This window comes from Homo sapiens, chromosome 9 (genome assembly GCF_000001405.40).
Source record: "Homo sapiens chromosome 9, GRCh38.p14 Primary Assembly".
Lineage (NCBI taxonomy): Eukaryota > Metazoa > Chordata > Mammalia > Primates > Hominidae > Homo > Homo sapiens.
Genome location: NC_000009.12, coordinates 29,201,241 through 29,226,574, shown reverse-complemented (window position 1 = coordinate 29,226,574; position 25,334 = coordinate 29,201,241). Strand labels below are relative to the sequence as shown.

General features: G+C 37.8%; 1 protein-coding gene across 11 annotated transcripts in view, besides 1 other annotated feature; it reads left to right on the top strand.

Annotated features, from left to right (window-relative positions):
• The first annotated feature begins 12,973 nt into the window (after window positions 1-12,973).
• The window catches only part of LINGO2 (leucine rich repeat and Ig domain containing 2), a 1,275,985-nt gene continuing 1,263,624 nt past the window's right edge, over window positions 12,974-25,334 (top strand). For 6 of the 11 annotated variants that reach the window (NM_001354574.2, NM_001258282.3, XM_047422814.1 and 3 more), the window contains exon 1: window positions 12,974-13,653. The gene's annotated coding sequence lies outside the window, so the exon portion shown is untranslated. Of the gene's footprint in view, window positions 13,654-14,275; window positions 14,486-25,334 lie in introns of those variants that run through there. The other 5 variants (XM_047422818.1, NM_001354575.2, XM_047422815.1 and 2 more) reach the window with 1 other exon arrangement.
• Window positions 14,334-14,383: a silencer, noted in NCBI's record as "silent region_19824". NCBI's record gives its function as "represses an Ori minimal core promoter by ATAC-STARR-seq in GM12878 lymphoblastoid cells {active_cell/tissue: GM12878}" and the evidence as "EXISTENCE:reporter gene assay evidence [ECO:0000049][PMID:35858748]".

The window sequence follows — 25,334 nt, the reverse complement described above, 5'->3', positions numbered from 1 at the left end:
TAGATTACATTTCTATATTCAAATAGAAACTCAACATATTGTCTTTTATGTTGCTATGGTTAAGGTAAATGGCACAATATTATCAATGTTTACAAATTTTGCTCTACATAGTTGCTATACCACAGGAGATATAATTAATCATAACAAGCAGTGACAGAGGCAATGGTCTGTTGTATTATAGAAGTAATAAACATATCTCTTTTCCAAAGATGTTTTATTTGGAGCAAAGTTGTCACTGTATGAGTTAGTGTAATAATGGCTATATTCATATTCTTAAACTATGGATCCAATCATGAAAATTTTGAGCATTTATGCATGTTTCCTGCTTGAGTTGGCAGCTTGCAATGATTGATTTCTAGTTATTACAGCACTAATCTTTTTTTGATTATCTCTGAGATAAATGAAATATAAAATGTCACAATATTTGATGTGGCATTGGTTTTGGTAATACTGATAAAAGAGTCGCAGTTGTCCCATTTAGTGGTTTAGTTCCTTTTTGAGCTTGGATCATTTATTATGATCATTTCAGGTTAACAAAATATTAAATGAGAAAAGGGTAAATTAATAGGTGAGATGAATTACATGTGAGAAGATTTTGTATTTGTACTGACAAAAAGAATCAGATCTAAGAATATAGAGAGAACTCCTACAAATCAATAAAAACACAAACAACCCACTAGAAAATGGGCAAGAATCACATGTAGGCACTTCATAGAAAAGGGAATAAGAATGACTAACAAACATATACAGATGTTGAGAATCATAACTGATCACAAACATATACATAAATCCCACATTAAGTTACCATTTTGTACCCTTTTGATTACAAAATTAAAAACATCTGAAAATAAACTTATAATGGAGATGTTGTATATTCACATGCTATTTTATACATTGCTACTAGAAATGTAAATTTGTACAAACACTTTCAAAAGGAATTCAAAATTTCCTTCTATTGTTGAAAAAGCATATCCTCTATGATCCAGCTGGTCTATTTGTACATGTACAGCAGGGGACATATGCAAAAATGTTCATAACCAAATTATTCACAATGTTAAAAAATGTGGAAGTCACCTAAATGTCCATCTTGGGAGAATAGATGAATATTCACATAAGAGAGCAGTTTAAAAAATGAACTATCATTCTACATATAGATAATATAACAATACATGTAAAATTCAATGAATAAATAAAAAAACTAAATTATCTTTTAGAACAGATACAGATATAGGAAAACAATATAAAAAGGAAATAAATGATGAACACAGGATTTTTTTTTTTTTTACATGGAGTCTCACTCTGTCACCAGGCTGGAGTGCAATGGCCCAATTGCAGCTCACTGCAACCTCTACCTCCCAGATTCCAGCGGTTCTCCTGCCTCAGCCTCCCGAGTAGCTGGGACTACAGGAGGGCACCACCATGCCCAGCTAATTTTTGTATTTTTAGTAGAGACAGGGTTTCACCATGTTGGCCAGGATGGTCTCCATCTCCTGACATCATGATCCGCCCGCCTCAGCCTCCCAAAGTGCTGGGATTACAGGCATGAGCCACCATGCCTGGCCGAACACAGGATTTAAAAAATGTTGGAAGAAGAAAGGAAGATAGGTGAATTAAAGGATGAGAAGATTTACGGTTAGATATATATTTTTTTCACGATCTCAACTTTCATTATGAGTCATGGGTTTATGTTGCTTGTTACATTCTTATAAAAAGTTAATTATATTTTTTAAAAAATAGGCAATTCATAGAACAATGATGAGGTCTGTCATGAGCCAATTGTTAATATTAATAAAATTTTGTGTTTCCGTATGTGTGCAAAATGTACAATAATGAAAAGATAAGATATTGTGCTAAATTACCTAGATCAAGCTTATAAATTAGTATGTTGTTTATGGCATATGCCTAATATCCTCTTCTCTGTCCTGTCAGGGAAGCAAAGTACCATATAATCTTGCTTAAGAATTAAGGTTAATATGGTCATCATGCTATACATTAGCTGTCTTTTCATCCTACGTAACTGAAATTTTGTACCCTTTGTATCCTTTGACCAACATCTCCCCATCTCCCTCCTACTTCTACCCTCTCTCCTACCCCAGCCTGTTTGATAACACTGTAGTTTTCCAAGAGAGATTTCAAGTGCTCATATATATGTGTGTGTGTGTATACATATATATGCACACACCTCTTACATAGTTACTTTATATATATACACACACACACACACACACACAAACAGACAGGTATATACTTACATAGTTACATAGTTATATATGGTAACTATGTAAAAGGAGATGAATATGTTATTTTATTTGGTGGCAGTAATCATTTCACTATGTATATGCATGTCAAAACATTGTATTGTATACCTTAAATATATATAATTTAAGAGCTCTAAAAAATAGTTACATTTGGCTGGGCACGGTGGCTCATGCCTGTAATCCCAGCACTTTGGGAGGCCAAGGCGGGCAGATCACCTGAGGCCAGGAGTTCAGGATCAGCCTGACCAACATGGTGAAACCTCATCTCTACTAAAAATACAAAAATTAGCTGGCATGGTGATGGGCACCTGTAATCCCAGCTATTTGGGAGGCTGAGGCAGGAGAATCGCTTGAACCTGGGAGTTGGAGGTTGTAGTGAACCGAGATTGCACCGCTGCACTCCAGTCTGGGTGACAAGAGCAAAACTCCATCTCAAAAAATAAAAAATAAAAATAAATAAAAAATAATTACAGCTAATTCATTTCTGGATAATTTAGACTGTCCTATATTTCACCTAGTCAACCAGTAACCTCCTCTCTTATATTCCACAACCAGTTCTTGGTGGAAATAATATGAGCACTGTTAGAAGGGCCAAGTTGTCTTACTATTATTATTTTGATGAAGGAAAGAAAGAGCAAATCATAATTTCATTGCTAATGAGGTCACCTACTATTTAAGACTTTGTGGATTACGTTGCAATTCAACAATTGAACTCCATTGAGAAACAAGGGACAAGAAATGGTCTGTATGATATTGTTGATCAACTTGGGTAGGAGATTCAAGCAAGTACTACCCTCTTTGTATCTATTGCTTATATAACAGAAACTATTTAGTACCATTTAAATAAATTAATAAATAATAACAACACACAAGAAACCCTGTATCCCAGAAAGATAAATAAAATGCATTAACTAAAATTGTACCATGTACTCTTTTTTTTCTTTCAAAAAGTTCCTGTTTTGAACAAGTGGGTCATTGCTTTCTTGACTCAACACAGTCAGTAACTGAATCTATCTACGATATTGCTTTATCTCCCCACTAAGAACATTTGTGAGTTGGCACTCTTTCAGAAAGACACATTCATCTAACCGTAAGTATAGTTCTTGGAACAGAAGCTCTACTTTGTCTTCTTGATGTTTGAAAAGCTTCAAAAACCCAATGTCAACTGGAAGAGGATTGAAGCATGTTATATCACATTCAATTTAACAATGAAATTTTTCATTGATGTTTTATGTTATGTTGCTGGCTTTTGAATACAATTTTAGCAACAATTTCTTCAGAATTATATTTTATTAAGAGATAAGTCTGAGTGCAGGAATATGTGAAAGGAAATTACAAAATGTTTTATTGGTTAAAATATTTTGGAAGCTATAGATTCTCAAGGTGAAAAAAGTTTACTTTTGTTCTACTTTGTATTAATACTGACTACACGGTATTGTCACATGAAGATTTCATTATTTTAGACTTCAGGTCACATTGTTCATTTAATTATATTGTATGCATGAAAACATTATAAAATATATTTTTATATTTACATGTGTGCAAAACCAGAAGCATGCAAAACCAAAATATCCTATACATTAATATTTGGTACTATTTAGGTAATATGAAGTTTTAGTGAGAAGAAAACAGTTTATAATTTGAAATAAAAGGACACAAAAAGTAAAAATATTTAGTATCCAGAGAAACTACACGACAATAATAAGACACAAATAAATCTTCCAAGAAGAGGAATTTAAACCAAAAATAACCATTAGCAGAGTATGGATAGCCTTTATCTTGAACATTCATTTTCTCTTTAGCTGTCAATAAGAGATCTCCACTTATCAGCTGGGAATATTGCCATAGAGCTAACAGAGAACAGTTCCTCAGCCTGCCTTACAGTTCTGTGGCCAGATGATTAAAATCTGGGTGAAGATATGTTGGCAGAAGTATTGTGTGGGACATTCTTGATGTTGCCTTTTTACTCTCTTTCAACTTATTCTTTTTGATGATTGGTGTTTCTGCTGAATTCTTGGATCATAAAATGACCTTGGGAATGGAAGCCACATGTAGCAGAACAACAGTATAGGACAATCTTTGAATGACAAAATATAACCTCTAAGCTGCTCATCTCTAAACTTCTTTCCTACAAGAGAAATAAACAGCTATATTGCGTAAGTCACAAATTTACTGACAACTGTATCCTACCCCCAATATAATCAAGATAATTAAAACCCCACATGCATGTCAGAATTCAAGACTCTACAATCTCTTTCAAATTTAGTTTTGAAACCACTTCCAACTATATTTTTCCACTAATCTGTTTGCCTAACCTGTTTTGCTTCCTGTGTACAAATATCTTTTATATACTCCCACAATATCTTGGTTCATTTTACTCACTTTCTCTCTCTGTCTCTCCATTCAACCTCACAAATCTTGCTTCATTTTACTCTTTTTCTCTCTCTCTCCATTCAACCTCACAAATCTTGTTTCATTTTACTCATTTTCTCTCTCTGTACATTCAGCCTCACATTCTCAAATATTACATTCTTAAAAAACAAGCTCCAACCTTCAGGAATTCTTTTTTCATCTTCCAGTTTAGGGAATCCCATTTCTCCGTGTTTATAAGCCTAGTTTGTTAAACAAGCATTTGTACCTAATTGCATACAGCTTTAAGACACATGTTATATTGTTTTCCTACATTGGTATTTAATGTTTGTTTTGAGCATTTTATATGTTCATTTGTATTTGTCACCACAACTCTGATTAAATCATCTAACTATCCACCAGCAAAAACATAACAACAAAAAATTTTCCCTCCTTTACCTCTTTTCTTGTTTGTAAAAGGATACTATCCTTCAGTTCTATACTTCTCCCACACCACTGCTACTCGCATGAAATCCATCTCTAAATTATGTTATTTCTGTCTTATCTCTCTGGATTTGTCTCTTTCTTTTTCCATACCTATGCTCATTGTCTTAGTTCAGGGAATATCTTTAATTGCTAACTGGCCTTGCCTTTCCTTCTTCATTCTTCTTCCTCTGACATGATCTTATGAGAATGAGCTTATTAATGTCCAGGCTTCAAGCTGACTTCTCCAATCTCATCTATTAGTTGCTTTTCCCTTCTTAGTTTTGCTAGAGCTGTCATAACAAAGAACTGCAGAGTGGGTTGATTTAGCAACATAAATTTATTTTCTCACAGTTCAGGAGACCAGAAGTCTAATTTCAAAGTGTCAGCAGGGTTGTTTTCTCCCGAGTTCTCTCTACTTGACTTGGCTGCCCTCTTGCTGCCTTTTCACATGGCCCACCCTTTGGGCACAGGCAACCCTGGTGTCTCTCTCTGTGTCCTAATTTCTTATTTTTATAAGGACATCAGGCACATTAGATTTAGACTCACCCTAATAGCTTCCTTTTTACTTAATCACCTCTTTAAAGGCTCTTTTAATATAGTTACATTCTTAGGTACTGGGAGTTAGTAACTACTTAAATTTTAGCTTAAACATCTGTCTGCAGTTACCACAATGACAGATGTCTCTTCTCTTCCTCCTACCCTCTGTCCCTATCTCATTTTTGAAAACTTTACACAGCTTTCGACCTCTTTGTTTGCATATTCAGGCTTCTGCCAAGTCTTCCTTTGCAATTCTGCTTAGAATATTTTTCTCTGGGTAGCATTCCCTGAACTACCCTGTCTGATCTTTCCCTGTTCCCATGTTCCCTAAAATGATTCAGAGGGCCCTCCTATGTGCTTCTACAGCACCCTTGTCCTAGACCTAGCAAGTCTCAGAGCCAGAATTCAAATCCAGGAGGTCTAACTCCAAAGACTGCAGATTAACCATAACACAGAGATGCATGAATTTGCAGATAAATTGCTTATAAACTGCCCATTATCATCAAGGTGAATTTTAAACTCCTTGTCCTGGTATGTGAGTTCATCAGCAGCTGGCCCCTAGATGACAGCTCCAGTGTCATCTTTCAACTGCCATTGCAAGAACTGCCTTATGTTTAAGATTTAAGGAAAAGGGAAATTTGAACCAAGGTAGAAGTGAAAGCTTTCTATTGTTGTTTCATTTTTATAATGTGCAACAGAGAATGGCATTTTGAAATTTTATAGGATGGCTTATGAATCCACTGACTGACAAATGGAGAGACAGTTGAAGAAAACAAACACCACTTCTTTGTAACAAATCAAATGGGCCAAAGTTGTTGTAAAAAGAAAGGAAAATTTATGATTCTTTTCCTGACCACACTACCTTGTCTGATTTCCTCCCTTGTCAAAAAAATATCAGAAATAGTCACCAGGACACCCACTTATATTAGGAGGATGACAAGTGGTAAATCACTGACACTTGAGTAGTTTCTTCAGCAAAACACTCCACTGCTTTGAAAGATATTTATTCAGACTCTATGTTTGATCTGTTTATTTCATTGTAGCATGTGTTTTGAACACTAGAATAATGACAGAATTGTAAGCAAGAGACTTAATTACAACATAATATTATTGTATAAAATAATAGTTTAGGTTAAAAGCAATGTGGCATAATGGTACTGAGTTGAGATTCTGTTTCTGTACTGAACCACTGCGAGACTTTGAGGAAACAATTAACTTCATGTTGATCATTAGCAGAGTAATAATAACATTGCCTAAGCCATGGAGTTGTTTTAAAAATTCAATAAAAGGCTGGGTTTGGTGGCTCATGTCCGTAATCCCAGCACTTTGGGAGGCCAAGGCATGTGGATCACATGGTCAGGAGTTCGAGATCAGCCTGGTCAACATGGTGAAACCCCATCCCTACCAAAAAATACAAAAATTAGCTGGGTGTGGTGGTGGGTGCCTGTAATCCCAGCTACTTGGGAGGCTGAAGCAGGAGAATCACTTGAACCCGGGAGGCAAAGGTTGCAGTGAGTGGAGATCACACCACTACACTCCAGCCTGGGTGACACAGTGAGACTATGTCCCAAAAAAAAAAAAAAAAAATTCAACAAGGTAACATACATAACGCAATTAGCACAGTGTGTGGCAAACAGGTATACTAAGTTGTCTCGCTACTGTCCATGGTTTTTATCCAGTCAGGATCCATGTACCGTTTTTGGCCTGTTGAGCCTGTAATCAACAGTAAAGCCAAGTCCCTGTTCTAACAGACCTTATAGCTAATATAGAACCTTCTGGTGTAGGTTAAAAAGCTGTGATCTAATGTTAGACAGCCACGGTTTAAACCCTGACTGTACCACTTAAGCAGCTATGTGACCTTGGCAAGGCTTTTTGACTTTTCTGTGACTGTTTCTTCATCTATACAATGAAGATAATTATTATTAGATTTGTTGTTAGGATTAAGTGAATAAATAAATCTAGTTCTCCTAGAGTATTTCTGGTACCTAAAAGGTGTCATTTAAGTTGCTTACTTTTTGAATTAAGCCATTTTTCACGCTATTTCTTAAGAGTGAATTTCTCAAATCAGACTAACATGAATCAGAGATCATAAGCAGTATTAGCCTAAACTAAATAATTTCAAAGGTACAAACAAAAGGCTTATCAAAAGTTTCAAAATAATGGCTCTGCAGGTCTTTCTTTCCTGTGAAAGCCACATCTCTTTAGCCCAGAATACATAAAGCCTCCAAGTGAGGCGTGCATGGTTCCTCATACAGTTGGTAATGCTTCAATTATAAAACATCTCCATTTTATACCCCAGCACTGCAAACACTATATGCCATTTTCCAGGAAGCCATCCCTTATAAATTCTGGTTCTATCTATTATAGGTAATCCTTAGTCAGATATCCTACTAAGGGCCCAAAGACAACCCTCTTCCTTCTAGCAAATACCATTAGTCTATTTACCCAGGGGAGGTAGAATTGACAAGGAGATTAGACCTGCTCACTTGTTATGGACTAAACGTTGTACCTTCTTCCCACCCCAAATTCATGTGCTGAAGCTCTAACATCTAATGTGGTGGTGTGTAGAGATGAGACCTTTGGGAGGTAATTAGGGTTAGACAGGTCATGTGAGTGGGACCTTCATGATAGGATTAGTTGCTATATAAACTGTGGCTGAAATGTCTCTGTTTCTTTTTCTCTCTTCCCCCCAACACACACTGAGAAAAGGCCATGTGAGGACATAGTTAGAAGGCAGCTGTATGCAGGCTAGGAAAAGAGCCATCACCAAGAACCAAATTGGCTAGCATCTTAATCTTGGCCTTCCAAGAACTGTGAAAAATGTTTCTCACAGAACTCCAGAACTGTGAGAAATACATTCCTACTATTTAAGCTACCCATGCGGTGGTATTTTGTTACAGTAGTCTGAACTAAGAAACCCCTTTTTGCTTCTTTCCCTCAAGGTCTCTCCCTGGCAGGAGTAAATGAGCAAATGTATTGCAGGCCAGGTTATTTCACAACTTTCACCTACCCTTTTTAAAAACAACAACAACAACAGCAACAAACATCTTTTTTAAGTAAAAGGCGGAGATACATCTGTTATACTTTTCTTTCCATGCAACCCCTCAAAGGCACTCTTTTATTTTATAAGGTAAAACTTACACACGGTTCCAAAATCAAAAGAACATAAAAAGTCTAACCTCTACCTTTGATACCATCTGCCCACTTACACCATGACCCCAACCAATTTTATTAATTTTTGGAGACAACACCTTGCTTCACCTTGCAATTTTCACCTAAAAATATCATGGAGACCTTTTTATACCAATTAAGGAGAATTTCCTCATTATTTTACATAGCAGCTTAATCTTCCATGATATGGATATTTTGTATTTGTACTGTAATGATCCAAGGTATAAAAGATGTTTTATAATATGAGCTGTTGAAATTGACAACTATAACACATTTCTATGGCATGTTCCTATGTCATTCTGTATTCAGTGTTGTCTGTGTTCTGAGGCTTTTATTTTTATTAGTTTTAAAATTGTGGCAATTAGCCAACATGAGATCTGTCCTCTTAATACATTTTTAAGTGTATAATACAGTATGGTTAATTATAGGCACATTATTGTACAATAGATCTCTAGAATTTATTCATCTTACACAACTGAGATTTTATAATAGCCTCCTCTGTTTTACATAAGAGTATCAACATGGAAGTAAACAATAAAAAGTTTTCTATATCCATAAAATTCCCAATGGCCTGACTCCCCTCTCTGAAAGGAAACCCATAACTCAGCATTTGGCATTCCCATGAAAATAATGCCAAGAAGACACTCTCCTATTTTAACCCAATAAGAGAAGTAAACTGGTCCTGTGTTTTGATACTCAAATAGATATTGACTCGATTGCATGAGAGGTAAGGAACTCATTTTTAAATTTGCCTCTTTTTAGCATTAACAACATATAAATTCCTTTTAGCCTTGAATAATTGAAAATGTGGGGACCTGGCTATTTGAACAGAGCAAAATGATGAATAGTGCAGGCTTCAGAGTCAGAAAGATACTGTGTAGGTTCCATACTTAATTGTGACAAAACAGATTTGTCACCTTAGGTAAATTTGCATAAGCCTCAATCTCCCTGTAATTTGAGGACATAAAATTTAGGTAAGCAGGTTGTAAACAGGATCAACTGATATAATGTACATAAATCACATTACATAGTCATTAAGTCATTACTCAATACATGGTCGCTTTCATCATCATCATCATCATCATATACATCTATTTTATTGTGTACTAGATTCTGTATAGATTCTGGGGAACAACAATGTAAATGACAAGATCCGTGCTCTCAGAGCTCACAGTACAGTAGCAAAGGCATACCAGTAAAGAAAGAATAGCTTTTATCTATGAAAAGACAGTACACCAATAGACTGAATGCTATGCTCTAGAGAAGTAAAAGGTGTTCTGAAAATGGCAGTTTGTAGAGAAATGATCTTAAGGAGGGAAAAGGATCAAGATGTTTCCATTGGAAGAGATATCATATATTTCAAATTCAATTATCAGAAAACATAAATACATAGACAACACTGGAATAATGCTGTAGTTATTTTAATTTGGTGGTGAAATCAGATTCTTGGATCTGACAGTATCTTTGAGTCTCAATAGTTTCTTTTCAATTCCATAGATAGACCTAAGGGTAGCGGGAATGGGGTACATCCTCTGATCCTGAGGTTTGCTCTCCTTGTTTGTTAAATAATTTCCCCCATAAAAGCAAAATGTAAAAGGCGAGGGGGAAAAGGGTGATCCTTATCCTCTTCCATTTTTTGAACAGGATCCATAAATCTACAGGTTTTTATTATTTTTTTTGAGGGTGCTTAAATGTCAAGAATATTATGCTATGGATTACCACTACTGCATACACATCGCATACATCAAAAACTCAAAGCAAGTAAAAAGACTTCGCCATGGCTGGTACAAGACTTTCCACAACATTTCCTACCACTGTAAGGCACCCTTCACGTATTAAAGTTAATGAATATGTAAATAACCTATGTTTACTTTAAACAGAAACTTCAGTTGCAGACAGTGGCCTGCATACCAACAGCAACCAAGAAAGGAATTTGAAGTCACAACCTTTTTGGAGAGGAGTCGCTCTAAATTCTGAATTTTCTTGAACCAAGTGAGTCTCTTCATTACAGCTCTGCAATTCATGCCTAATAGTCTGCAGAATATTTTATTGGTAATTGATAGGCTTATACAATCAGAAATCATAAGTTAAAGATGGCCTTTTGTTGGAAATAGTTTATTATAATTCTTATTCCCACTTCATTATCAGGAACAGTCATTTATTAATTAGGAATAAGAATTAGAACTCGAAGAGGCATCAAATATTGCGGCACGCAGACAATGTATAGATTCATACCAGGTTCCAAAATACTGCCGAACATCCTCCTCTTGAAAGGCTGCAAAAGAGTCACTGTCGAAGATACATTTTAGGACATCAAACCTAAAAACTCAATCCTGGCAAACTAATACACACGCAAACAAAATGCCTCTTTTTATTCCTTAGCACCTCATCACCGATTTCATTATTCACTTCTTCAGGCAAGCTGCGCGGGTTAGCTTCAAGCTCTTCCCTTAATTGCACCAGAAGTTAAGTCTGGGCGTTGGACATACACACTCTAAATCCTTACGCGTGGGTCTGTCTGTGAACAGCCCGGAGCAGCGGAGCAAGTTAGTGGGAGGGTATCGCCAACTGTCTGCTCGCTCCAAGTGGCAGCCTTCATGGATCCATCACCCCTAAACCCACAGCCCCTGTCACTGCCTCTGCACTGAGTCGGCTCAAACAGAATCCAAAGCAGGTTCATCCCTGAAATTCAGACTTGCGCCTGAAGTTACCGGTCCGGAGCCCCTGGGAGCCGCAACGCTCACTGTGGAATGCTCTGGATCGATTTCAGAGCTGTGAGTAGCGCTGCTAGAGGTCATCCTACAAGTTTCATCTTTTGTATTAAATCTTCACTTCTGCGCTCTGCGACTCCACGTTTGCCGCTCAGGAACTCGGTTCCCGGCAAAGTCAACCGCCTTCCAATTTGGAGAGGGACAGTCAAGAACTCCCTTGATTTTGAGGAGATTCTCGATGGAGACGGCGGCGGTGGGTGGCGGAGCGGAGCATCCAGCGCCAGAGCAAAGGAACCTGGTGCCATCTCCAAGCTGGGCAACTTTGCGTTTTCCGCTAGCAGGTCCGAAGCCATAGATATTCGCGAAGCCCCAGAGGGCAGAAATCCTCAGCAATCCTCTGTCTCACAGTTGAAAAGGCAGAGTAGCGCTCTGTTGCAATAGAAACTACGCGGAGCACAAATGCAAGCTTTGGTTAAAAAAAGCACAAAAAACAAAAAAACAACGGGCAAAAGTTTACTCTCTGTAAGCAATTAATTCCTGCAGCCCATTCCGGGTAAAACAAACTCCTCTTGGGAAGCTCCTTTCGTGGGAGTTGTGGATGACACGGGGGCGCTTCTGAGAGCGAAGTCTCTCCTGCCTGGGACGCCCCAGCGGTGTAGCACCCAGTGATCCCTCCCGACCGTCGAGGGAAGAAAAAGAAGTTGGGACAGGAGCTAGCCAGAGACCCGGACAGCTACTCCTGGTGCAAAACCTTGGAAATGGCTGCTAAAGGGGTTGGGTCTCCAGACTCCTAATCCCTCCCCTTTCTCCAGCTGAGCCGTTCACCTGCTACCGTCCAGTTTACAATATAAGCGTAGCACCTAAATTAACCCAGTTCCAAAAGCTAGGCACTACAATTCCCTAAGAAATTCATTTTCAAAACATCTAAGCGACTTTCGGGAGCTCCTTGGGGGAAATGTTACGAAGGGAGTGGGCAGGTAAAGACGGGATGCGAGGGGATTATGTTCACGAAGCGATGTGTAGGCTCCTCTATTCGAAGGACCTCGGGGAGCCCCTCAGCTCCCAGGAGAGCTGCTGCAGCCACTTCAATTCTCCACTACAGAAGGGGCGGAGGTGGCCCCTGGAGGGTGGCGATGGGAACGGGGCTCATCTTTAGTCTGGTGGCCTCTCGCTGGGTGTCGAGGGGGTGTAACTGGCTTCAAGAAAAGAGCTAGGGAGTTGAAATGCCAGACAGGGCAGAGAACGGAGAGGTGGCCCAACGGACTTAACGGCGTGCGGCGAGGAACTGCCTGCCGGCAATCCGCTAACTAGTGAGGATTGATTGACTCTTTCTGTCATCAGCATCCTTGGAACCCCTACCCCTCCTCAGGACTCCCGACTTTTCGCTCGCCACTGGCCGGGGGCCGCGGGCGCAGGGCTGGGCGTGCGTGTGTAGCTGCGCGCGCGCGGGTGTGCGCGCCTGTGTGTGTGCGCAGCCCGAGCTCTGAGCCCGGCTGCCAAGCCCCAGCCGGCTATCCTGCGTCCCGCCTTGCAGCCGCCTCCTCAAAGCCTCCTCACCTGGCGCCGCCGCCCGCCGCCCGCCCAGCCCCGCACCGGCGCTGCCTCCCCTGAAAGTTTCCCCAGCGTAGACACCTTCGCGCTGCAGCAGCCCAGGGAGACGGTGTTCCGAAGCTGTGCCTTGGAGTGGCTCTTCTTACACCTTTCCGCCTCATCCCCACCTAATTCGGGCAGGGAGTAGAAATTTTTCCAAATTAAGGGGAGAAAGGGGGGAGGGGCATTATCGAGAGAAAGCAAGAGGAGCGGCCGCAACTGAGAATATCCTGCCTGATGCCAGGGAATTGACTGACGTGTCTGTGGGGTTACGGAAGAAAACTGAATAGGCAGCCAAGTTGGCCCAGGAGGGGCTGGGAGGCTTCCGGGTGCCGGGAAGGTGGTCCCGGTCTCCATTTCCACTGGTACGAAGGCTTGGAGGCGCCTCTATGGTGAGGGCTTTTGAACCGCCATCCCCTCCTGATCCCTTGGAAAGGAGGAGCCTTCAGAGCTGAGGAGGGGGAAGTCCAGGAAAAGCCCCTGGACTTGTGTGCGTCGCATCCTTGGCTTGGGATTTTAAGGACACGAAGGAGAATTAACAGCGCCTCAAGGTAAGAGGCAGCAAAGCTGCTGCTTGAATTGCCAGAGACAATAACTTAAAATAGATGTTGGGGATGGGGTGGGGGTTAAGTCAAGTTAGGAGGATCTCTCCGGGCGTCGCTACGCGATCGCACGACCCGCCTGGCAAGTCAGGGAGTAGCCGGTGCGGCGCTGCCCAGCTGCGAGGCAGGAAGCCAGAGGAGTGTCCTGTCCTCACACTTTCTGAAACCTATTGGAAAACGATTTCGGACTGGGTTCTCTGTGGAGGTTGATATACAGCGTGGATTTGGGTTTTGGGTTTTCGTTTTTTTACCAGAGAGGTTTTTTTTTTAAATTTTTATTAGCACCGCAGACCCACCCCCAATTGCCATAGAGAGCTGTGGGCACCGGTGAACGCAACTAGGACGCGGTGGCAGGTGAGCCTGGCGCAGGTGGGCAGGTGGGGGCGGCGGCGGCACCCGGCCTGCGGACTCGGGGGCGCGCGAAGCCCACGCTGCCGCTTGGCCGGCTCCCTGCAACCGGCGTCGGAACCTGGGCGCCGCAGGTCGCCTGCTGTTCCCTTCGCCTCCGCTAGAGGCTCCCAGCGGGCGCCGCGGAGCGGGTGGGTGTGGGGGCGCCAGGAGGCGGCGGGGTGAGCGCGGAGAGCCAGCGTGCTCGCGGGGTGGCGGAGCCCGCGCGGCAGGGGCGGGGGACGTGAGCGGCAGTCCCGGCGCGCTTCCGAGCTCCGCACCGCGCCGCGGGGACGCAGGTCCGAACCCGGCTGAGCTCTGGAAAGCTGTGCCTTGAACTGGAGCCACTTCGGGGATGAGATCCTGACCCGCACCCTGAGGGCAGCCCCGGGAGGTAATGCCCTCTTTCTCCTCCACTCTCCTTTCGCCTCTTGGTTCTCTGTAAATTCTCAGTCAGATACTCAGGGTGGGAGGGAGTGAAGGGTGAGAGAGAGTCTATAGGGTCTGTATCTAAAAAAGGTGCCTTTCAGTGTTGCTCCGTGGTGCTCTGTTGTATGTGTATTCGAACTAATGCCCAATTTCCCCCGCCTCCCTTGAATATTTGGCTGCTTTAAGGGAAGTTTTTTGCGGAGAACGCTGGGTGGTTGGTCTGGGCCAGGCTGCTCCGAGGTGAGCTAGGGGACCTGCTGTGCCCGCTTTGAGCCGCAGTAGACTGGAGTGCAAGACTCCAGGGATGGGGTGTGGTGGAGAAAACGAGTACCACACCCTCTTCTTTTCCTCTTCACCTGCTGGTGAAGTCTCCCCATTCAGCATTTTGCTGATTTCCTTTTCCGAGGGATTGGCTCAGAGAACTGAGGAAAGCTGCTGAAATACTTGGAGGGAGGGAGGGAGAGAGAGAGAGAGAAGAGAAGAGAAGAGAAGAGAAGGATGAGAAGGAAGTCATGGTCTGAGCATCAGAAGAGGAAGGAGGGCGAAGTTAAGCTTGTGTGTTTGAGGTGGGGGAGTGAGTGCTGGGAAATGGCCTTGGAGTTCAGTTTATTTGATGAAGTCAGATTCACTTCACATTTCACACTTTGACATAATCCAGTTTGCTGAAGCCACCTAACAGATATTATCTGTGCTGTGTACTGCCTTGGGCTCAGTGGGCACTGAATATGTTTGATGAGTGTGTCTAAGCAATAGATAAATAAATAAATGAAAGAGTGCTTATTGTGTTTGCTTGGTGTGATTACCCCCGTGTCTGTCAGCCGGTAATGTATGTATTTTTCAGCGTGCTGTGCTGTGTTTGTGCATACCATATGTGGTCATTTTACACTCAGTAATGCAGTTTCAGGGTCTTGGAAAGGTGGCTCTTAACAAAGACGAATATTTAGAATAATACTAAAGGAAGACCAAAAATTACCATCGGGTGTGGAATATTCCAGGAATACTGAATAGAAGCTGAGATCCATCATTGGTGAAAATATTGGGCCACATACTGAAAGGGCAAAAAATATTTTTCAGAAATTAGAAGCAGTGGTTAACATTTTAAAAGAAGGAGATGTTCTTTAGGGTTCTGTCACCATCACCCAGTAGCATGCGTTACTCCCAATACAGTTGGAGTGTGAGGAAGAAAAAAAAATGTACTTCCTGTTCAAAACCAGTAAAATGTTTTGAGATCTGCCAGGTATTTCACCTTAAGAATTTAAATGGAATGGATTGCCTATTGATGGCAGAAGTGGTTTAGTTATGTAAGGCATCTATTATTTTTGATTAAGGTACATATATGTTAATATTTTTATATAATTTTACTGTAGTGGGAATGGAAGCAGGACAATTTATTGATGTTTTTCATTGCTGAATAACACATAGCATTATCTCAGGGAAGATTTATATAAAGTTTGTCATTCATGTATTATAGTGGATGATGCTCTGTGTGGAAGGCAAGAATATATATCTTGATGAAGTCCCAAAAAGGATCGTTTGTGTTCTTAAAATACAGTATTTTAGAAATTTTTATGGTGTGAAAAAGTGATACTCATCTGAATATAGGTACAACTTATATATACACTAATCATTTATTTGTTGAATTAAATTAACAAAGACATACATATTTAGGGCTCAAATGTATTTCTGAAAGACACCTCTAAAACCAAAGGAAGATCTGCTATTAAGACTCTGTGTATATGATGTATAAGGGAAGTTTTCTTTCTTGACATTTAATCTAATTAAACTGGTGAGGCTGGTTTGTAATCTCGAGTCAGTTTTAGGACTCCATCTCTAAAGATGCTTTCCTCTCTAATAAATGTGATTTTAAAAGAGACCAAACATTAAAATGTTCCACAGCTGTCATGGACCAGAAAACCATTTGAGTCCTCTGCAACTTCATGTCAAGAATAAGAAGTGATAGGAAGTTGTCACAAATTAATTGGCTTGATACTTCAATTAAAAACTGATTATGATCTGGCTCTGGTAGTCATTATGGTTGATTTCGTTTGGTCTCTAGATATTCTGTGAAAGGACTCTAGGTGGAAATGTTTTCCTGTAGTACAAGGAGAGGAGGTCACTATATGCAAAGAGGTTTGTCAGTTACTGATTCTCCAATTTGGTTGTGTTGTATCCTTAAGGAAGCATGTTAGATTGAAAAAAAATCCATTTTCTCAATTTATGTAAATATTTCTCTTTGTCATAGCCCTCAACCAACCTCTGAGTACTGTATTTATAATTTTGTTGAAATATGTCACCAAGCCTCTTCCCTTTATGGTTTAGGGGCTACTTTGATGTTAATAACTTTAAAAACTATTCAAGCATAAAATACCGTATTTCCTGAAAGAAAATAAATTAAATTTAAAAAGGGTTTGGGGTAAGGAAATTAAGGGAGAATATGAGGGAAAGGTTAAATTCCAGGTATCAGGCTTACCCATCTAATGGCATATACTTCTGTGATTTTTCTGTTATGCTTCTAAAGAAATCCTTCCTTCCTTCCTTCCTTTTCTTCTTCCCTCTTTTTCCTTTAAAATATTTCCTTCAGAATTAAATCCATGCTAATTTACAGTTACTTTATAATGGTCAGTCCATAATTTACTTTTAAGTGGGTGATAGTCTTAAAATACTAAGATTGTTGCATTTATTTTTTAATTTTATACAAAAATTGACTAGAAGGTGGGTTTGGGTCTTTAGGGAGTTCGAGTCATCAGTTTATTATCGTCTCTTAAATTGTAAATGCATCTTGTGTCTCGCTGCAACTTCACTGCCTTTCGTTTCTGGAAAGTGTAAAAGCATGGATAGGTATTCATTTGACATAGGTGGACAGCCTAAGAACATGGTGCGTTTGTGCTTTGAGTGGCTTATTTTCATATGATTAATACTCTGTGAACAAATTGGCCAATGTAATCAAATATGTAATGTTCATATTCAGCAAGTAGTAGAGTGACATTTGTCAGTGTATATTGGTTCAGAAATAAGTATCATATTTTAGGAAACCTTAGCTTCATCTAAACCTTCATAAAAGTTACTTTTTAAAAAAAGGATTATCACTCAACAGATACAGTTGCTGTATCTATTCTTAAATGTCCTCAAGAGAGAAGATCCTAGTTCTAAAAATCTCCCAAGAGAAACTAATCCAGTGCCACTGGGAGGCAGCATGAATAAATAGAAAAAGCAGTGGATCTGACACCAGAAGACTTGAATTCCACTGTGTTTCTCATGACTAGCAGTGTCTTCTTTGAAAAGCTGTCTTATTTTTTCTAAGGCTCAGTGTTGATTTCTGTACAATGGGAATGTTTAATATCTACCTACTCTATGTTTAAAAATTGATAACAGCTAGCTTTAAGCATTGGAAAAAGAAAAACAGAACTTTCAGGTGCCAAGTAAATGTAGCGCTTGATAGAAGAATAAATAAAATATATTTAAAGAATGCTTGTAAAACTTCAGTAATGCATCATGGATTTTGATATGCCTTTGATGAGAGGAATATTTTCTCTGAATGAGATATTAACATGTGTCATGAAAGTCAAATTTAAATTAATATTTATATATGGGAGATGATTTTCTCAAAGTTATTATTAATAAGGCACAAATTTTGTGATGTATGGAAATCTTGTAATGGTTATTGTATGGGCCATAAAAGTTCATTTGGGCATTTGTGCTGTTCTTAAAGAGTTTTGATAACAAAGAGGCGGCAAGGAAAAAGAGTTAAAATATCATTTAATAATAAAGTCTCAGTTGGGTTTCTGATTTTTTTATTTTTTAGCAATTCTACATTTTTCTTCTTCTTGTGAGTATACTTAATATGACACAGGTAGGAACTGTCCCTTGCTTTCATTATTGTCAGGTCAGTTACCCAATTTTTATGAACACTAAAAATATTTAGCTTGTGGAATATTTTGTTCAGTGATTTAATCTATGAAATGGAACACAAACCTAATATATTATCTTAGTTTTTTACAGTGGAATTTGCCCAGGACCACTGGTAGACCATTTGTCCTATTTTATTTTATTGGCTTTAATGCTAATAATATTAGTTATAAGTTATTTTCATTATGTGAATTAGGAAGAAAATACATGGTAGATATTAAATGACTCATGGATTTGAATAAAATTTTAAAAGCTCCATTGAAATAATTATGTGCTCTTATTATAAAATATGAGGTTCGCTAGGATTTGACTAGAATACATTTTGTTAATTTTCTAAATGTATTCACTAGTTAATGTCAAGAATAGCCTGTCTTTACTGGCTGCAAGGGTAAGTTAAATACCATTTCCTTCCCTAGAGTTTTGGTGTCATTGTCAGTAAAAACTATAAGTGTATTTTCTCTAACAAAATGAGTAAGACTAAATGCAAACCTGGGAACCTAGACTAGAAAACAAATTACATTTTTTGTTGTTATAATAGAACATTATATCAAATTGCCTATAAAGGTAGAATTATTGTCTTTACAAATATCATACCTGAAGTTCAGTGTAACAGAAATATGTGCAAAAATATAAGATTCCCAGCACATTCAGTTTCTAGGTAGCACCATAGAGTTTGTGAAATGGATTCTAAATTGGACGACATAAGAGGATTTTGTGTCTTCAGACAATCTCATTCTATTATAATGTAACTATGGTTAGCTGCAAGATACTTATCTACTAGCCAGCATGAAGAGAAATAATTAGCATAAAAACTGTATTGCTCCAGGTACACCAGGAGAGTCAACAACAGTGCCTTGTGATAAATGTTGATTTTGAAACGGTGAGCTTCATTTTTCAAAAGGAAAGTGCCTTTATTTTCTTAACAATTTTTGACTTGACCTTTATATACATATATACGTATATGTACAATATCATATGAACACATCTTCTTTATATATACTTTATATATATATATTCTGTCTATGTATATAGACAGCATATGCATACATAGGGAGGGAGAGTCTCTATGTATATATGTATGTACATATGTATATTTACATATATATATGTACACATACACACACACACACACATATAGCCTGATGAAAGCAGTCCTCGTGAGGTGAGGATGTGACTGTCACCTGCTGGTTAAGCTTATGATTATGGATTGCAAATGTTTTTTCTTTATTCAATTTTATTTGCAGGTAATGATAAAAGCCTAGCTTTGGTCTCGATTAGTTAAATTCACATCAATTAATATGCAAATATTTATTGTTGATAAACTAATTTTCTATTTGATATTCAGGATATCATGGTACATGAGAATTTGTTCTTGTTCTTAAGAATTCTGTGTTCTTGTTAAGCAGAGAAGACAAAAATCGGTGATAAGCTAACAAAAATAGAATAGAGCATCACCTCATTCAGGATATTCTTATTAAATATCTGTTGTTCCCAAGGCTATACAAAATAACAATACAAAAGTTGTGTCACCAGGCAATTCAGAGTAGGGTGAAGTGTGAGTGGTCTGAAAAAGATTCATGCAGGGGGAGGAAACTGGGCTGAGAGTGAGTATAACACTGTAAAAGTAAACAATAAATATATAAACTCTCTAGTAATTAAAGCAATGCAAAATAACACAATAGTAAGATAGTCTTTGCTGCTGAGTTGGGACAAAGATGAAAACATCGATAGACTCCTTGTGTTGGCAAGGGAGTGGGGAAATAAACACTCAATACATAATTGGAGTCATTGTAAACTGGTTCAGCTCATCTAACATGCAATTTAAGTAATTATTACTTGGATATATATTAAATTACAAATGCTCATAATAATTGTCTTTATAGTTCCTCTTTTAGAAGTTTATCCTTAGAAATGCTCCCATGAATCTCTAGCAATATATCATGTACACACAAGAAGAAATAGACAACTTGAATGACTCTGTCTTTTAAAGAAATGGTATCTGTAGTTAAAACTTTTCCACACCAAATTAGCAAATGGATAAATAAGGTATATCCATACTATGGAAAATGTTCATCAGTGAAAAGGAATGAAATACTGATACATGCTACAACATGGATATACCTTTAAAACAATATGCTACTTGAAAGAAGCCAGTAACAAAAAACACCATGTGATATAATTAGGTGAAATGTACAGAAAAACATATCTATGGAATTTAAAAGTAGAGTGGTTTTCATCTGGCACTGGCAGTGGGGTTGGTGAGTGACTGCGTATGGGCACAAGGAATCTTTTGGGACAATGGAACTATTCTGTAATGGGATTGTGCTGATGGTTGCACAAATCTGTAAATTCACTAAAAATCATTTAATTGTTCACATAAAAAGAGTAAATTTCATGGTGTTTGAATTATGTGGCAAATCAGTTGTTAAAAACCCAAACACAAAACAAAAAATCTTCCTACAAAGTAAACTGAAGGCGCAGATGACCTTACTAATAAAATCTTCCTAATATTTAGGGAAGAAATAATACCAGATCTATATAAACTCTTTCAGGAAACTGTAGAGGAGGGAAGATTTTCCAACTATGAGACCAACATAAAAGTTATCATAAGAAAATAAAACAACAGGCCAATATCCTACAGAACATAGATGTAAACATTATTAATGAAATGTTAGCAAGTATAAATAGCAATGGCAAGTAAAGATAATACATCATGAACAAGTTAGGTTCATCCCAGAAATGCAATGTTGGTTTAACATTAGAAAATAAATTGAATAGTTCACCATATTAACAGAGTAAAAAGAAAAACTGGCCAAGCATGGTGGCTCACACCTATAATCCCAGCACTTTGGGAGGCCGTGGTGGGTGGATACCGAGGTCAAGAGATCGAGACCATCCTGGCAACATGGTGAAACCCTGTCTCTACTAAAAATAACAAAAATTATCTGAGTGTGGTGGTGTGTGCCTGTAGGTCCAGCTACTCGGGAAGCTAAGGCAGGAGAATCACTTGAACCCAGGAGGCGGAGGTTGCAGTGAGCCAAGAATGCACCACTGCACTCCAGCCTGGCGACAGAAAAAAAGAAAAAGAAAAACCATATGGTGATCTCAGATGCAGAAAAATCACTGGAAAATACAACAATTATTCTTGATAAAAACTGTTAGCAAGTTAGGAATAGAAGGCAACTTCCTCAACTTGATAAGGAACATCTGCAGTAAACCTAGAGCTAATATCATACTTAATGGTGAAACACTAAGTGCTTTTTCTCTAAGCTTGGAAGAAATGTAAGAATGTATGCTATCATCACTTTTACTCAACGTTTATAATGGAAATCATTTAAATAAGGTGAGAAAAAGACTCAGGCAGAGAGATTAGAAAGGAGGTGCAAAACTGTGTGAACATGATTTTATTAAATAATTGAAAAAACTCCAAATGTCCAATAGGAAAATAGATAAACAAATGTTGGAATATTCATGCAGTATGTTTCTGGTTTAATAAGACGGTAAGTGAAATGTTGTAGTTCTTTAAATACCATCATGAGAAAATCTCCAATATATATTTTTAAGAAGGAAAATATGGTTGTAGAACAATACTTAGTCTATAGTGAATTGACTGATTAATTCTTCAGGTGTTTATTGGGTACCTCTTTTGTGTTAAGCACTGGAGTAGGTAGGCCCTGGGTCACATATTGTCTGTGGGAAGGGGACAGATATAATCCTGCCCTTGAGAGACTTACAGGCTAATGAGAAAGAATTTACAAGCAACTAAAATAAATGAAATTCATAATGAGAAATTGTGTTATGTGCATATAAGAAATGAAGTTGAATGACAGGGATTTATCCATGAGTTTGAAAGATAGAAAGATTTTCCTAAGAGGTGTCTGGTTCCTAGTGAGCATTCAGCTGAGAACTATTTTTATAATAGATTAATCCAAATCATTCATCTTTCCTATTTTACCTAATTTTGCTTCATATCTGGTAAACTGAAGGAGTACATGCTATACTTCCCTATCACACTAACTTTTCCTGTGTCATTATACTCTTTTCTTACTTTGAATAATTCCCATAATCATCATCTGCATTCTTCTAGCACCTACTGTGAACAAATGCATTATTTTATGTGCATTCACAGTTGCATAAGGCACATCTTATTACATTCATTTAGTCTTGAGTTGAAACCTGTTTCTTAATGTGTAATTTTTATTATTTTTTCCTTTTTCTTTGGTTACAAAAGTAAAACATTTGCATCATAAGTGTATTTAATATCATAGCAATATATAATACACAAAGTGAAGGAACTTCCTGGGGCTCCCTTGTTCCTAAGGTTTGACAAAATAGGAAGCTATGTTGCACAAGAAATGTCAGAGTGAGTAAGTGTGAAGAGTGAGACTAAGTGCTGTGTGGATAATAGGCAAGAGGATTAAGTGGCCAGGGACCAGAAAACGCTTCAGAAGATAGATGTCCAATGGAATTTTTCAGTTACAACGTTGTAATCTGTGCAGTGGTACTGCTTCCTGTGATCTCAACATCTTCAACAAAGTCACATATATGTTAGTCTTAGTAACATTAGTGTGATTGGATTCCTGGTAGTGGTTGGTGACAGAATTTATTTTTTGTCAGAGTTGGGGTAGCAGTGTGAGAGAGGGAGCTTGTGTAAATAAGATACATGGGTCATAAAGCATGTAAATAAGACATGGGTCATAAGAACATGAGTCATGCTCTCTCTTGTATGTTTTCTGTAAGTGGCCTTAACCATCTAGTTCATTTACCCATGCCTTAGATACATTCCTTGCAAAACATTCCTTCCAAGTAGTTGTGTAACATAACCTTAAACACTGAAGTCTGTAGCAGATTACTTTGTCTGGCTGTACATGGTTTTAATTGATATTTTTATTTTTTTCCTTAAAACCTCATTCTATCTAACTAAAGTAGATTGATGGTAGTCCATTACCCCTTCTTTCTAAAGAACTTTTTGATTATAATCAGCGAAGATCATTCTAGAACATATTCATGAGTTCCTGATCTTACCTTATTTTTGTAGATGATTAAATTAAGTGGAAGCATTTGCATATATATATGGTTGGTTCTGAATTCAAGATTCTTCTCACAGGTACTGCATAAACTCAGTAAAAATTTAGTCTATTATTTTGTCTTTAATTACACTTAAAATATGTGTGAACAAGATTGATGAAATAAATGTGAATTGAAATACATTCCACATGTTATTTATAGGTCCTTATGTAGCCTAGCAAAATACTTAGGTATGGTTGACTGCTAAAAAGAAGTGGATTTGATGATTGTTCTGTTGGACCTGGAGCTTCTGGTCCTATTCATCAGTTCATAGGAATGCTTACTGTGGGTTTTACAGAGAGATTAGGAGATTAAAACTAAAAGTATTACTAGCTGACCCAAAAACGAAGGTTCCATGATTATGTTGAAGTAAAGCTCAAGGAAGGGTATGAAGTTTGATTCAATAGAAATAAATGGTTTCAAATTACAGCTTGAGAATATGGATGATAATCATATGTTTTGTCTGTAATAATGGTAGAAAACCATGGGAGTTATTTGCATGTTGGGGAGGATAATTATTCATCTTTCCATTTAGCTCTCCTTGTGGAATTAGAAAGACTATAGATACATCAAGTATAAGATCACTTTATAAGAATAAAGTGCTAATGAATGTAATTATTAATTTATACTCAATTTTTAGATGTTGGAAGCAGTATTTAAAAGTAAAATAATCTGGTACTTACTAATAAAGCCACTCAATTTAAAAATATGTCTCCGTGGCTTTGCACGTTGGGATTCATGCAACTGGAATAGTCTTTTTCAGATCACATGGGAAGACTCCTACTTATACTTAAAAAATGAGCTTAGTATCATATTCTCAATAAATCATTCCAAAATTCCTGGAATCTCTCTACTTTTACAAGCTTCTGTTTTTATATGTATTATTTAATATATTATTATTTTTGTTCATTGGCCTATTTATCTTTCCAAATCATGTGGTCCTGGAAGACAAAAATTATATCTTATTTATTACCATTAAAAATATCTTTGGACCTAGTTCTTACTAAATATTTTTGAAATGAATTGAACTGTGATTTTTAGAACATTTAGACAGTTTTAAATCATATCCAAAACCATAGTAATACTGTTTCCAATTGGTAAAAGAGGTAACATGCAGTGACTAAAAGTTTAAGATTTGGTTTCAAATTCTGACTGCCATTGATTTCTGGTTATTGGACCTTGAACAATCTCTTCGTCTCATGACGTGTTAGTTTCCTAATATGTAAAATAGGGGTGAAAAACACTTTTCTGGCCTGCATGTCTTACCTGAAGTTTACGATGATAGGATAAAGCATGGGTGTAAAATAAATTTGTGTGCTCAGTACCTACACAAAGTCATTCCTGTATTAAGTATACAATTAAAAGCCACTAATAAAATAATCTTAAATGAAATAATTTACATCACTTTTCTAATAATGAGAGGTTTGTACAGAAAAGTAAAGCCAATGAACTTGAAATCTCTTTCTATTGGATTTTCCCTGCCTTTTTATAACAGTTTCATTGCATCTTAATATAATATGAGTTTGATTTTATAGGTTATAGAACAAAGATAACAATACAAATTGACTATTGTAGTTTAAACACATGGTTATAGATGGCTTAATTGATAACTTTCATATAGTAATTTAGACCTGGATTGATGATTGTTGAGCAACTCTTTGTATCTGAGTAAGCACTGATTTTTACCATCTCTTCAAATTAGAGCCAGTTTAAAGTGAGTAAATTGTATGATATGTGAATTATATCTCTATAAGGCTGTTATGAAAATTTGTGGAATTTGTGCCTAAAATATCCATGCGTTCATGCTGATATAAACACATGATCAAATGAATGAATGAATT